This window comes from Homo sapiens, chromosome 14 (assembly GCF_000001405.40).
Source record: "Homo sapiens chromosome 14, GRCh38.p14 Primary Assembly".
Classification (NCBI taxonomy): Eukaryota; Metazoa; Chordata; class Mammalia; order Primates; family Hominidae; genus Homo; species Homo sapiens.
Genome location: NC_000014.9, coordinates 57,452,384 through 57,468,620, shown reverse-complemented (window position 1 = coordinate 57,468,620; position 16,237 = coordinate 57,452,384).

The window sequence follows — 16,237 nt, the reverse complement described above, 5'->3', positions numbered from 1 at the left end:
TTCTTTTGCATTACATGGTGTGGTTCCTTTTGGGAGGAGTGGGGAAGAGGTAATAGTACACTAGAAAGGGTGAGAGCTTTGTGGAATTATCTTTTAGCAAGGAATAGCTTAACTGATAGCCGAACTGCAGGCAAAGGGAGGATAAAAGCACAGAAGAAAGGCAGATGAGAGAGTAAAGGAAACCTTAACTGTCTTCCCAATTTGGCCTAGGGAATCAGTCCCCAACCTTTCAGCACCAGGGACCAGTTTTGTGAAAGACAATTTTTCCACAGATGGGTGAGACAGGGGATGGTTTCAGGACGAAACTGTTCCACCTCAGATCATCAGGCATGAGATTCTCATAAGGAGCATGCAGCTTAGATCCCTTGCCTGTGTAGTTCACAATAGGGTTCACACTCCTATGAGAATCTAATGCCTCTGCTGACCTGACAGGAGGGGGAGCTCAGGCAGTAATGCTCCATTGCCCACCACTCACCTCTTGTGTACGGCCCAGTTCCTAACAGGCCATGGACCAGACCAGCACCTGTCCACAGCCCAGGGGTTGGAGACCCCTGGCCTGGGGGCAGCATAGGTGAGCATCCCCACTGAAAAGCCCCATCCAGGGTGGATCAGTTGCACACTGTGACAAAGACTCAAGGGTAGCAGGTAGCTCAGTTGCACAATGTGACAAGGACTCAAGGGTAGCAGTTCTCGATGCTGGCGACAGGTTAGAATCACCTGTCAATGATCAAAAACTAATAACAACCAAGATTTCTGGGCCCCACCTTTTGATTTAATTGGGTTGGAGTAGAGCTCTGGCATTGGGTGGTTGAGTTTTTTTTTTTTAAGCTTCCAGGTGAATCTATCACACAGCTAAGTTTGAAAATTACAGCTTTAGCAATAAGAACATTCTATTTTACCAGATTATATCACCTTCTAGCTATAAAAGAAAGAACTTCTGAGATAGTTTTTTAAAGTTAAGGACATTAGGCCTGGAGCTTCACAAAACAGTAAGAGAAATGTTCATTTTGTAAGTAATTTTCTGAGAACACCAATCCTACAGTTAATCTCGAATTTGTTCAGGGCAATGTACGGCCATCATAAAACCAGCTGTTGCTGATAAAAGCTATAAAATTCAGCCTAGAGGTAAAGCTGTCAATTTTCTTCAGCTGAAAATCTCTCCAGCTTTGGAAAGAAAATAGGCTTGTCTAGGACTAAATTCATACTTCCTCTTGTGAAAATAATATTTTCCTTCTTGCTCTGAATTTTTCATTAGAAAGAGAAATATCTTTTTTTGCTTGAATACTTTTGGAAATATATTTTTCTCAATTTTTTTTCAGGCAGAGTGTTGTTTTTCATCACGTACTTATTTTGATGATAATTCAGAGTTACTATACTGGGATTTAACTAAACGTAACTTTTGTAGGAGTCACCTATGAAATAGACTTGTGAACAAATGGATAATGTTTTCTGCTTACATAGAGCCTTTAAAAACAGAAAATAGAACCCCAGCTCTTTGTGCCCCTCCCTTTCTTACCACAGAAACATAATGGTCATCAAATTATAATTAACATCAACTATTTTCTGCCTTGAATAAACAATAAAAGCCTATTTCCACATATTACTGCAAAACCTCACCAATTTAGATTGCTACAGGGAAGGCTTCGGAGAAAGTATGCTAAAGGGTAGGTTATGGAAGGTCCGACCATTAAAAATCTGAATTACATCTCATTTTAAGAGAAATGCTATTTCATTCAAGTACAGAATACACAATAACACAATTGGAAACTAAGTCAATAGTTAAGGATTTTTTAAAGATATGTACTTTATAATAAGTCTGCAATTCATTCATTTGTGTATCATTTAATCATGCATTCAATGAGTGGGTTTGAGTATTACTACATGCCAAGTACTGTTGCAGATGCTGAGAATATAGCCATCAACAAGACAAAGTCCCTGGACCCATGGGTTACATTCCAGTGGGGGAGATCACGAGCAGATAGTCAAGTACAAGATAATACAACTTAATGTAATGTTAAGCATGATTAAGAAAAATAAATCAGATAACAGGGTAGGCAGGGATGGAGTGAACTGCTTGAGGCAGGATGCTCAGGGAGAGACTCTGAGGAAAAACCATGAATGAAGGGAAGGTGTGAACCATGAGAAGATCCATGGAACAGGCTTTACAAACACCAGAAGAGCAGGTGCAAAGGTCCTGAGACAAGAATGAGCTTATAAGGTTCAAGAGCCAACAAGAAGGCCAGAATGACAGAGCGACCAAAGGAGAGACAAACAGGGATGATGTCAGAAAGCTGGTCAGGGCCCAGATGTGAGAAGCCCAGAGGAGCATGGTATGACAATGGGTTTGAAGTGTAATACAGTTTTAGAGTCAGAAAGGAATACTTGTGGTCTAGACTGATATCTCCAATATAATCATGAACAAAGGCAAACAGACCCACTAAAGTCACATGGCCATAGCTAGCTGACCTGGGGCTGACCCTGGACCCACTGAGCAATCAGAGAGGGCCTTGGTTTCTGCTGGTGGCAGGAAGCTCAGCGAGGAAGCTCAGGAGCAATGGGTGGCAGTGCTCTGCCCTGTAGGCCAGAGATGCAGAGAATGCTGACCTGTAGCAAAGAACCAGAGAGACCCACTGAGGCCTGACAGTACATCTGTTCCTCATTCCCAGTCCTTCCCAAGGCCCTGCTGCCCCCTGCCCTTCATTCTGAGACTGTATCCCTATCATAAATTGTGCTTTCTGCTTGGGCCAGCTCCAACCGATTTCTGCTTCTTAAAATCAAACAACTTCAACTAATAGATATCTTAAGCAGCAGCCACCTCCTTGCCTCATGACACAACAGCAGAGGCTGTGGTGTGCTGGAATCGGCATGAGTGGCCAGCACCAGCTCTCAAAAGGAACCATGAGGATCTCTTCCCAATCTGTGTTCAGTGATGCCATGCCGGCCATGGTGGGAACATTTACACCAGAAAAATTAGTGAATGTTGCAGATCAGGGCTTTTTTCAGAAAGCTGATATTAAGCATTTACTGACACAACTGGCTAGAAGTAAGACCCACCAGGCTCTGGAGCCAGAAGTCACAGCCCAGCTTGGCCAATCCCTCTCTTAGGTAATTATTTCACCTGTCTGGCCAGCATCCTCACTGTAAAATGGGGAAAAGGATAATGCCAACCTAACAGTGTGTTGTGGCAATGAAATAAGATAATACACATAAAGTGCTTAGAACAATGCCTGACACATAATAACTGCTCAATACACACTAGTTACCAAACAATGTTATTACCATTGAAATTAGGAATAAAATAAGATTTTGTGTGTGAGAGTGGTTCTAGAAGTCTAATCAGTTCAACAAGACAGAACAAAAGCCAGAAGTACACAACTACGGAACCATGAAAATAAATGCATCACAATTAGCAGGGGAAGTAATTATATGGCTGGACTACCCAAGGGAATCAACTGAAACATTTTTTGATTTAATAATGGAATTAAATGGGTGTTGGATAAAAGAACTATATTTTAAAATCAACAGCTTTTGCAAACCATTTCTCGGAATTTATCCAACAGAACACTGTGCAAAGACAAATGCTCAAGGGTAAATAGTGAGTTCACCGATCACAAGGGAGATGTCTCAGGGTACACTATCTTGGAATATCCTTTCTCTGTAACTCCAAGTCTCAAGCTCCCCTTTCCATTACTATTGAAAACTGTGCTCTTACCAATCCAGGGTACTTTTGTCACTCCTGGCTTGAAGTGCACCCTCAGGATTCTCTCCCACTCTCCCTTTTTCCTCCCCAGCCAGGGTCCATGGCTGGGGGAAGACACACAGGCCTTGATTATGGTGCTATCCTGGGGGCATGTGGGGAATAGCTCATTGGTGCCATCCTTTGTCCAAACTGGCCTCGACTGAACGATACCCATCTTGATGATCTTGGGCATCGGCCTTTCTCTCCTGAGCATCTACCCCAACCTCCCTGGCTGGTGTCACTTCCCACCATACTCTCAGCACTAGCCTTGTGTAATGATTGCTCAGGAAGAAGCCCAGTGGTTTTCTCCTGCTGAGATGGTCACCACCTCAGTCTAGAGGGTGTGACTCATCCTTAAATAATCAACTATATCTTCTATACAGTCCCTAAGGTAGGCTGTCCATGCCTCATGCTGTGCTAAGAAATCCCCATGGCTCTCAATTCTCAGCTCCCCTCCCCCTACTCTGCTTTGGAAGCCTTGGAAACTTCTTAAATATTCTCCATAACCTATGGGGCAGGGAGATGAGGGGCCTATCTCAGGCACTCTCTACCAAAACATGTCTTGCTGCCATTATTACTGTGCTGTAGTCCACAGATGTTGCCCTCCTGAAGTAGCAAACAGGTGGAGGCAACGTACCATGAAGCTCAGGAAGCTTCAGCTTCAAGGCCCCTCGTGCACACAGTCCTCTGCCCTGGGAGGAGCACTAGCAAATCATTTACATGAGTTTTCATTACAGTTCTCCAGGAGCAGACAAGGATGAAATGCAAGCAGTTTATGTTGGAGCTGATGCCACGAAATACCAGTAGAGGAGTAAAGTGAGACAGGGAAAGCTGCCAATCAAGGGGCATAATCAAGGAAGTTACTATTCTGGGTACCAGGCTTAATCCTGCTGGGGAATTCTGTGCCTCAAAGTTATCTCATCTATAGAAGAAGTATGCTGGGGTCTGATACACCACCTTTAGTCAGTCATTGGTTGATGGCTGCCAGAGCATGAGGGAAGAAGAATTAATTATCTGGTACTTCTTAAATGCCATGTATCCTCAGGTCTATCTGTGGAGAGAAGTTCTCAGGCTCACAGATACAGATGCTGGTAAAAGCCAAGCCAAATTAAGGCCTGTGGGGATACGATGGGGGCGCCAAGAGCTTACTACAACTTGGTTACATGTTTTTGTAAAATGTGCAAAAGTGGCCAGCGCGGTGGCTCATGCCTGTAATCCCAGCACTTTGGGAGGCCAAGGTAGGTGGATCATGAGGTCAGGAGATGGAGACCATCCCAGCTAACACGGGGAAACCCTGTCTCTACTAAAAATACAAAAAAATTAGCCAGGCGTGGTGGTGGGCACCTGTAGTGCCAGCTACTCTGGAGGCTGAGGCAGGAGAATCGCGTGAACCCGGGAGGCGGAGCTTGCAGTGAGCTGGGATCACGCCACTGCACTCCAACCTGGGTGACAGAGCAAGACTCTGTCTCAAAAAAAAAAAAAAAAAAAAAAAAAAAAAAAATCAGTGGTTGCCAGGGATTAGGGGAGAGAAAGAGTTGAATAGGTGGAACACAGAGGATTTTTAGGGCAATGAAACTACTCTGTAAGATACTACAATGGTGGATACATGTCATTATACATTTGTCAAAAACCCATAGAACGCACAACACCAAGAGTGAGCCCTCATGTAAACTATGGACTTTGGGTGAGCATTGCGTGTCAACATAGGCTCATCAGTTGTAACCAATATGCCACTCTGGTGGGAGATGTTGGTAACAGGGGAGGCTGTACATACGTGGGGGCAGGGATATTTGGGAAATCTCTGTACCTTTGTCTCAAATTTTCTATAAAACCAAAACTACTCCAAAAAAAGTCTAGTAAAAATAAAAAATTTTGGTTTATAAAGGCTATCATGTTTTCCCCTCCAATTTCCCCTCTGTCACACTTCCTTCCCCTTGGGTAGTATGTGAAAAGTACCAGCAGCTCTCAGAATCTGGCCAAAGGGAAGTCCAATTGGGGCTATACTCAGTTGGGGTATAGTGGGATATATTACGTGATTCCCAGTCCCTTCCATGTGTAGTTGTTATCTGTAACCATTGTGATGAAGGAATGGCTTGGAGGCACACCTCAGCTGCCCACTGACTCATCCAGAGATGTGAGACCAGGGATTGTGTTGCAATATGAACGTACCCTGCAGCACCTGGCACTGGAAGTATGGAAGTAGTGGAGGGGAGATGAAGTTCTAAATATGCAATGCCAAAAGCTAGTCAGTCTGTGGTACATCGGGCAGTTAATTAATAGAAATACTATATTGTATTTCTGTTTTCTGTGACATTTGTGGTATTTGTCAACTTTGTAAAATTTATAAACAAAACTTTTTTCTCATAATAAATATTGCTTTCAGTTCCAATTTTATATTCAGAATTTTTATTCTTTTTTCCTTTTTTTCTTTTTTGGTAGACATGAGGGTCTCCCTATGTTGCCCAAGCTAGTCTTGAACCCCTGGGCTCAAGCAATCCTCCTGCCTCAGCCTTCCAAAGTGCTGGGACTACAAGCATGAGTCATCATGCCTGGCCTACACTTTTTCTTAAAGAAGACACTCGAAAACATATGTTTCTGTCCAGCTTGCAGTCAGAGACAGAAGCTTTTCTGCTGTTAGATCAACAAATATTCCTAAGGGCAGGAGCGATAGTCAAAATATTTAACTATACTCATAGCATGGGCGGCAACCAATCAATGGCTCCAGCATGGTCCTCTAAACCTAACTTACTGAATCAGGATAAGCTCCTCCTCTTGGACTTTGAACCAAAGGAAAGGCCAGGTTCCACATTAGTTTCAAAGCTCTCTTGCTTTCTTCTCTCAGTTTCTTCCAACCCAAGAAGAAATTATTTCTTCTTGGTGTGGTAGGAAGCCTGTTCATGAGTCATCATCTTGCCACCTCTTTGCCCTACGTTTACAACATAAACACTATGTCCTCTGTGTTCTCAGACTTCCAGGCTGTGGCTGTTAATATCTAAAGAGAAGGTTTTAAAATGCAAAAGCCTTCTTCTCCCTCAAGAGCCTGAATTTTGTTATCGGAAACTAGGGTTGCAAGTTAATTACAGCAGCATAAAATTTGAATTAACATTAATGTTAACCTATAGTGATGATTGAAAAATAATAGGATATCTACACTATAGCGCCTCAATAAAGTTGATTCAACTTTTTTACTGATAAATAAAAGTTGTACATATTTATGGGGTACACATGATACTTTCATATATCCATGCAATGTGCAGTGGTCAAATCAAGATAACTGGGATATTCACCAGTTTACACATTTGTTATTTATTTGTGTCAGGATCATTCTAAATCTTCTCTTCTGGCTATTTTGAAATATACAATAAATTACTGTTAACAAATAATCACCCTACTGTGCTATCAAACACTAGAACTTGTTTCTTCTATCTAACTGTATTTTTGTACCCATTAACCAGCCTCTCTTCATCCCCCTCCCACTTTCCTAGCCTCTGGTAACCACCATTCTACTCTCAGCCTCCATGAGATCAACTTTTTTAACTCCCACATATGAGTGAAAACATGCAATATTTGTCTTTCTGAGCCTGGCTTATTGCACTTAACATAATGTCTTCCAGTCCTATACATGTTGCTGCAAAATGACAGAATTTTCTTCTTTTTATGGCTGAATAGTATTCCACTGTGTATATATACCATATTTTCTTTATCCATTCATCCACTGATGGGCACTTAGGTTTGGACTGAACACAAGCCCACAAATCAAGTAGCCATCTCAAAGAAAATGTGTCTGAATTTCCAATGCATAAGATAGCAAAAAGATGCACAAAAATGGCCCACAATAATCAGTCATATGAAAAAGCATAAAATGGCCAGGTGCGGTGGCTCACACCTGTAATACTAGCATTTTGGGAGGCCAAGGCGGGTGGATCACGAGGTCAGGAGATCAAGACCAGCCTGGCCAACATGGTGAAACCCCGTCTCTACTAAAAAAAAGAAAAAAAAAAATTAGCTGGGTGTAGTGGCGTGCACCTGCAGTCTCAGCTACTCGGGAGGCTGAGGCAGGAGAATCACTTGAACCCAGGAGGTGGAGGTTGCAGTGAGCCAAGATCAGGCCACCGCACTCCAGCCTGGGTGACAGAGTGAGACCTTGTCTCAAAAAAAAAAAAAAAAAAAGAGAGCATAAAATACATCCTACATAATAACAACAAAGAACATAAACATTTTAGGACTGATCCTAACAAAAATGTATAAAACTTATGTGAAGAAAACTACAAGACATTGTTAAGAAAGACAAATAAATGAAAAGAAAAACTAGTTCCTGGGTTTTGAAATTTAGAATATTTGCAGGATATTAATTCCCAGTGGGACTGGAGAGAGGGTGAAGCTTGAAAACAAGAATTCCAAATTCATCTAGGAGCATATACAGGTAGATTAATAAAAACATTATGGAAAGAAATAATGAAATAATGATGAGGGGACTTGACCTACCTATTGGAACTACATAAATGTGTTAATCCTTTATGGAAAATATTTTGAAATAGCTATCAAAATTTTAAGGTCAAGTACTCTTTGCCCCAGTAATTCTGCTTTTGGAATTTGTCCTACAGATATATCCACATGAACAAAATGACATTTATTCAAAGATAAGTGTTGCAGTGTTTTTTGTAATCATAAAATATTGGTAATAATCCTAATATCTATCAGTAGGAAACTGGTTAAATAAACAACTATACAATGGAATACAATATAGCTGTAAAAAATAAAACAATGCAGATGAGCAAAGATATTTTTGAGCAAAACAACAACTTGCAGAGAATATATATGGTATAGCATATACTTTTGCATAAAAGAAAGAGGAAAAGAGAAATAATCTATATCATCTATAAAATATATGACATATATGGTTGTTTACACACAGAATTTCCCCAAAGGAATATACAAGAAAATGATAATAGTGATTGGCTCCAAGGAGGAAAACTGGGAAGTCAGGGGAGAAGTTGGAGGGAGACTATGTTTTCATACAAAATCCTTCTGTGCCTTTTGAGTTTTGTATCATGTGCAGGAATTGCCTATGTATAAGACAAAATAATTTTAAATGAATTAATGAAGATAATTTTTGATATTAAGACAAGAACTAAAAGTTAGCTTAATACTAGGAATAACTGGCCGGGTGCGGTGGCTCACACCTGTAATCCCAGCACTTTGGGAAGCCGAGGCAGGCAGATCACCTGAGGTCTGGAGTTTGAGACCAGGCCTGACCAACATGGAAAAACCTTGTCTCTACTAAAAATACAAAATTAGCCAGGCGTGGTGGTGCACACCTGTAATCCCAGCTACTCAGGAGGCTGAGGCAGGAGAATCGCTTGAACCCGGGAGGTGGAGGTTGCAGGGAGCTGAGATGGTGCCATTGCACTCCAGCCTGGGCAACAAGAGTGAAACTCCGTCCAAAAGAAAAAGAAAAAAACTAAGAATAACTAACTGTAAAATAGAGTTTTATATGCATAAAATTATAATTTGAGTTAGAAGAACCACAAATAGTTTAACAAATGTATTTGTCAAAAAAAAACAATAGATGTTTTGAAAATGAAAAATATAATTTTAAAGTAGAAACTTTATCTCACTCAGCTAGCAAAATAGACTCCAAATAAATTACTGAGTTAAATGCAAGGAATAAAATAAAAATCCTAAAGAACTATATTGGAGAATAATTAAATACTATAGCATGTAATGACGTTTTTTAAAATTAGTAATATTCAGTGATTTTAAAAAGGTATAGCAAAACAGATATTCCTGCCATATGCCAGATGCAACATAAACTCAATTACCATTGTTTTAAATGAAGGGATAGATGGGTGATTGCAGGAGTAATTTTACCTTTTGGGGAAATAAACTAAGGAGTAATTAATGAGCTGAAAAACTTGTCTGAGGAAATCTCCAAGAATTTGAAAGAAAGGAGTAAACCATGAAAAGCTTATCTAATAATTCCCTCCTTTAGAAAACCGACATTATATACAGAAAAACAAAGAGAATAATGATAGCAGGCTTTTCATCAAAACAATTGAAGATAGAAGGCAATAGGGCAATATCCTTAAAGTACTAAAAAAAAAAAAAAAATCGACCTAGAATTTCACACGTAGAGAAAGTATGTTTTGTAAATAAGGCAAAGTGAAGACTTTTCTAAACATACAAAATCTAAAATAATTCATTAACAGCCAACCAGCATTAGAAATAATGTAAGCAAAGATCTTTAGACAGAATGAAAATGATATCAGAAAAAATAAAGCACGCTAGAAATAATAAATATGTGGGTAAATACTTTTCTATTTAAAATAGAAATTTGAATTAACATTAATGTTAACCTATAGTAATGATTGAAAAATAATAGGATATCTACACTATAGCACCTCAATAAAGTTGATTCAACTTTTTTACTGATAAATAAAAGCTGTACATATTTATGGGGTACACATGATACTAATTAACTGTTTAAAGCAAACTAACAATTTATTATGAGTTTTATAATAGATATGTGGAAGTAACATGTATGTCAATAGTATAAAGGCCAGGAAGAGGGAAATGGAAGTATATTGTTATAAGACTTTTATACCCACATTGCTAGGACAATCTTTTTAAAATTTATTTTTTAATTGACAAATTAAAAATGTATGTATATATTGTACACAACATGATGTTTTGAAATATGTATACAATATGGAATTGCTAAATCAAGCTAATTAACATATGCATTATTACCTCACATCATTTTTTGTGGTGAGAATACTTAAAACCTACTCTCAGCAATCTTCAAGAAGGCAGTACATTGTTATTAATTGTAGTCATCATGTTGTACAAGAGATCTCTTGAACTTATTTCTCATATCTAACTGAAATTTTTTATCCTTTGTCCAACATCTTCTCAACCCCCATCCTCCACCCAGCCCCTGGTTATCAACATTCTACTCTATGCTTTTAGGAGTTTAACCTTTTTAGATTCCACACATAAGTGAGATCATGCAGTGTTTGTCTCTCTGTGCTTAGCTTATTTCACATAACATAATGTCTTTTCAGGATTTCCTTTATTTTTGAGATTCAATAGTGTTCCATCATGTATATAAACCACATTTTCTTTATTCATCTATCCATTGATGAACACTTAGGTTGATTCTGCATTTTGGTTACTGTGAATAATCCTGCTGTGAACATGGGAGTGCAGATATCTTTTCAACATACTGATTTGCTGATTTCATATACTTTGGATATATACCAAGTAGTAGCATTGCTGGATCATAAGGTAGTTCTATTTTTAAATTTTTGAGGAACCGCCATACTATTTTCCATAATGGCTATACTAATTTACATTCCCATCAATAGTGTGCAAGTGTTCCCTTTTCATCAGATCCCTGCCAGCACTTGTTATCTCTTGTCTTTTTGATAACAAACATTCTAAGAGGTATAGGGTAATATCTTATTTTAGTTTTAATTTGCATTTCACTGATGATTTGTGATACAGAGCATTTTTTCATATACCTGTTAGCAATTTACATGTCTTCTTTTGAGAAATGTCTACTCATGTTCTTTTCTCATTTTTTAATCAGGTTTTCTTGCTATTGAGTTTATTGAGTCCCTTCTATATTTTGGCTATTAACTCCTTATCTGATATATATTTGCAACTATTTTCTCCCATTCTGCAGGTTGTCTCTTTCATGAGTGATATAATATTACTTGAATATAGACTGTAATACACTTAAAAAGTATACTACAGATGCTATAGCAACCACTTAAAAAAAGGCATAGCTAATAACTAATAAGCTAATAAGAGGAGACAAAATCAAATCATAAAAAATACTCAATCCAAAAAAAGGCAGAAAAAGTGGAAGAGAGTGGAAAAAAGAGAAGAGATAAAAATAAATAAATAAACCCAAATAGTAAGATGACAGATTTGAACCCAACTATATCAGCCAGGCACAATGGCTCAGCCTATAATCCTAGCACTTTGGGAGGCCGAGGCAGGAGGATCACTTGAGCCCAGGAGTTCAAGATCAGCCTGGGCAACATGGTAAGACTCTGTCTCTATTAAAATAAAAAAATTAAAAACAAAATAAAACAAAACTCAACTATATAAATAATCATATTAAATGTAAATGGTCAAAAACACAATTTAAATGCAGAGATGGTTGAATTGGAAAAAAGAGCAAGAAGCAGCTATATGCTATCTATAAGAAACACAATTTAAATGTAAAAACACAAATAGGTTAAAAGAAAAAAACAGAAAAAGATATAACATGCCAACACTAATCCCAAAAAAGCTGCAGTGAGCATATTAATACTAGACAAAATAAACTTAAGAACATATAACAGCCATGATTGTCATTAGCAGCCAAAGTTATATATCCTTCCAATTTAGGAAGAACAGAAATAAAAGGTACATTTCATGCCCCCGACCCCCAGCATGAAAATAAATCCCTGAAAAGGAATCTGATAGCCATGAAGAGTCATATCCCCACCCTTTGCGATGGCAGGACCACATGATTGAGTCTGGCCAGAATCACATGGATTTAGGAATGGTCATTTCTCAAAGAAGGGATTCAAGGATACTGACTAAAGACAAATGTCCACTACTAAATGGATACTAAGGGACTGGCTACCTCTCTAACACATCACACGTGTGAAGGACAGTAATGGTGCGGTCCTATCAAAGAATAATGTGACAGTGATGGAGGAGATTGAGAGGAGAACATTTACAGTGCTTATTAGCTCTGGAGATAATTTATTTTACTTTCTAAGAGAATAAATGAAGAAATAATTTTGCCCGATAATTTATTAGCATAAACTCTACATTTTGGGATTCCTTGAATTTAAAAAAAAAAAAAAGATGTCAACATCAAATCTAGGTTTTCAGTAAAGACACAGAAGGTGATTTTACAGTATTATATTATTTGTGCTCCAATGAACTTACTCAAATGTTCCTGTTATCCTTCAACATTTTCCCTAAAAATTTTCTTCCAAAAATAAAATTCAAGCATTACCCCACCAGTGTAAAGTTGGGAACCTTCTAAATCTACTTCCAGTTCATAATACATTGGGAGGCTTATTAAGGAAAAGTAAGACTCAGGGTCAAGATGGAACACCTCAAATCACAGATTACTAGGACTGAAGAGGAATTTAAGAAGCTTCTATTTCAACCTCCCTTCCTCAGGGACTGAGATAACCACGGCACTTACATGGGATCTTCAAGAAAGATTGATTGACCAGCTGATTTTAATGCATACTTATTTAGCTTAATTGGTAAATGTCTTCATAGCTGTTTGAAAAAGGACTTATTTTTCAATCAGTGTGTTTTGCAACATACCACACATACACACACATAAGTCAACCACCACTCATACCCCAAAAGAAACAAGAACCCCCAGTACATATTACAGGCCTTCTTCAACCTAAGGGTTGTAGAAGTTTGCCATCTACTGACTTTTTGCTGAAGTATTTTGTTCTCCATGAAATATTGCTAATAATTATAAATCAATGCCAGTACATAGATTGAGTTCTGTAGCCTTTTGCAACTATTTTCCAATAAGATGTAAATTTTTTCTTTTTTCTTAAAAAAAAACTATAGGTAAAACAGCAACTCAAAGTACTTTATATATATGTGTGTGTATATATATATTTATACGTGTATATATGTATATGTATATGTATATTTATGAAAGAAAACCAAAAGCTCAAAGATCCTACATGAAATATTTAACAGCATCCATATTCATTTGAAGGCCTTCTGCTGATCATTCTCATTATATGTACTTCTAGGTTTTAAAAAATAATAATAATAAAATTAATCACAAAAATTTGGGAACAGTGAATACATTTTCTCTAACATTTCTGCTTCTAGTTCTCTCCCCTACTCCAGCATTTCTTTCCCTGCCTGCTTTCTTCCCTGGGGTTTGAGTCAGATGCCAGGCATTCATTATTACCCTTTCTCAGAAAACTTTGGTAAATCTGGCCCTGACCTGTCTAGTTCTGAGCTGGCTTCAAATTTTTCCATTATTATTTGCAAAGTTCCTGTTATCTAGCTTATGACATATTTCCTGACTTAATTTTTTTTTTTTTTTTTTTTTTTTTTTTTTTTTTTTTTTTTTTTTTTTTTTTTTTGAGACGGAGTCTCGCTCTGTCGCCCAGGCTGGAGTGCAGTGGCGGGATCTCGGCTCACTGCAAGCTCCGCCTCCCGGGTTCACGCCATTCTCCTGCCTCAGCCTCCCAAGTAGCTGGGACTACAGGCGCCCGCCACTACGCCCGGCTAAGTTTTTGTATTTTTAGTAGAGACGGGGTTTCACCGTTTTAGCCGGGATGGTCTCGATCTCCTGACCTCGTGATCCGCCCGCCTCGGCCTCCCAAAGTGCTGGGATTACAGGCGTGAGCCACCGCGCCCGGCCCTGACTTAATGTTTTACAGGGCGTCCGAAATATAGGCTATGAAAGGCATACTGAGTCTTCAAAATAATGCCTAATTACTAATAGAGTAATTGGAGGTAGGCACCAAAAGCCATGCCCAGTTATTACATGGTGATCCTCTACAGACTAGGTTGTGAATATATCAGGACAAGATATACTGTCCACTAAATTCTGATAGCAGAGTCTATCCCCACAACTTATTCTCCCTTCCTTACTCCCATTTTTAATCTTTTTGTCTTTCCTATTTCCTCTGCAGAATCTGTTGGGCTACTCTGCATCTCTTTCACTTTACTCTGTAGCCTAGAATCCTCCCTGTAAATATTGGAAAATATTAAAATAACTTTCCATATATCAAGGATGGTGTCATGACAGAACTACTACGGTGGGGCAAGGGCAAGACTAGAGGATTTCTGAAATCCTTTGTGATCATCTGATTCTATGGTGATAAATCAACCCACTGCAGAGTTTATTTAAAATATTAGCACAGATATAAATGAGCTGAAAGTCTTCTGATAAATGCAAACTGGTTAATAAAGACTGGCCTAAAAAGAACTATCACTTGTGGAGGGGTATAATTGTGATAATAAAACTACATTAGCAAAACTACACGGAGTCTCAAAGCCCAGGAACAGGGAGATTGCAACAGATATACAGAAGAAAAATATTGTCAAAGCCAGCAATTTTTGAATATAGGTGATTCTCTGCCAACGTTTCCTCGTCTAAATGGTAAGACAACAGAAATCCTTGATGAAACACAGTTACATGAAGAAACCCTAAATAGAAACCCACTGTCTCTGGTCAGAGATTTAAGGGTAATATATATTTGTCATATATATAAATATATACACAGTTGACCCTTGAACAACACAGGTTTGAACTGCAAGGGACCACTTATACACAGTTTTTTTCAACCAAATGCAGATGGAAAATACAGTGTTTGCAGGATACAAAACCAGAGTATCTGGAGGGCTGATTTTTCCTAAAAGCTCCTTCCACGGGGCCAGCTGAGACACTTGACTGTATGAGGATTCTTGTTTGTGTAGGAGCAGAGGGGAAGTCCTAGAACCAACCCCTCACATATAACAGGGCATGGCATGTATGTAATTTACTTCTCAAAATTCTCTGAAATAGTAGTTATTTTTTCTATTTATAAAAATTTCCCCTACTTTTTATATGTGAAGAATCAGCCTCAGAGATTAAGTAACTTGACCAACATAATGTGGATATCGAGAAATTAGAAAAAGAAGCGGGAGGTAGTTTTCATTTTTCTTAACCACCCAAGACCGATTTTAACTTCTGCTTCACAGAGAAGTCCATGAACAAGAGGAGAAAAGCAAAAAGGTACAGGAGGAAAGGAGTAAGGGAGACCTGCAGAGATTGTCAAGAGAGTTGTGTGTCCAAACACCACACTGAAATGCAAGCTCCATGAGGATAAAGATTTCTGTCCTGTGTGTTCAATATTATAGACCCAGCACTGGCCTAGCACAGGTATTTCACAAATATCTGTTGAATAAATGAATGAATGAATATGTGGTATGAAGATGCTACTTCAAGTTTTGATTAAGCTTAGCATATAAGGTACAGGTTTTGAAACTGTATAAATGTTTTATATATTTTAAAAATGAAACTAAATCAAATATTAACAAGTAATCTTGAGAATTACAGTTTTGAGTTTCCCATGTAAACAGCATAGAATTCCTTACCCTCTCCTAACAACAAGTAAAACACGATGAAACTGAAATACTAATAACTTTTCTTGGATCCATCAGAGAAATGAGGTCACAGGACAAATCATTGTCTTGGAAATTGGAGAGACAGACAAAATAAATACAGAAAATTATGACACCAGAGCAGAAACCTCTGCAGGAACCAGTGCCAGGGTAAGAGAACCTAAACTACAATTGACGAATTGCTGGAGGCTCAGTGTAGACAAGTCTGAGAGATAAGAATTCCAGAGGGAACACAGTCATAAGGATATATCCACATTTTTGTGAGTTTTACCTATAAAACTCCATGAGGTCCTCACAAGGAATATCAGAGAAAAATCTCCTCATATTTCC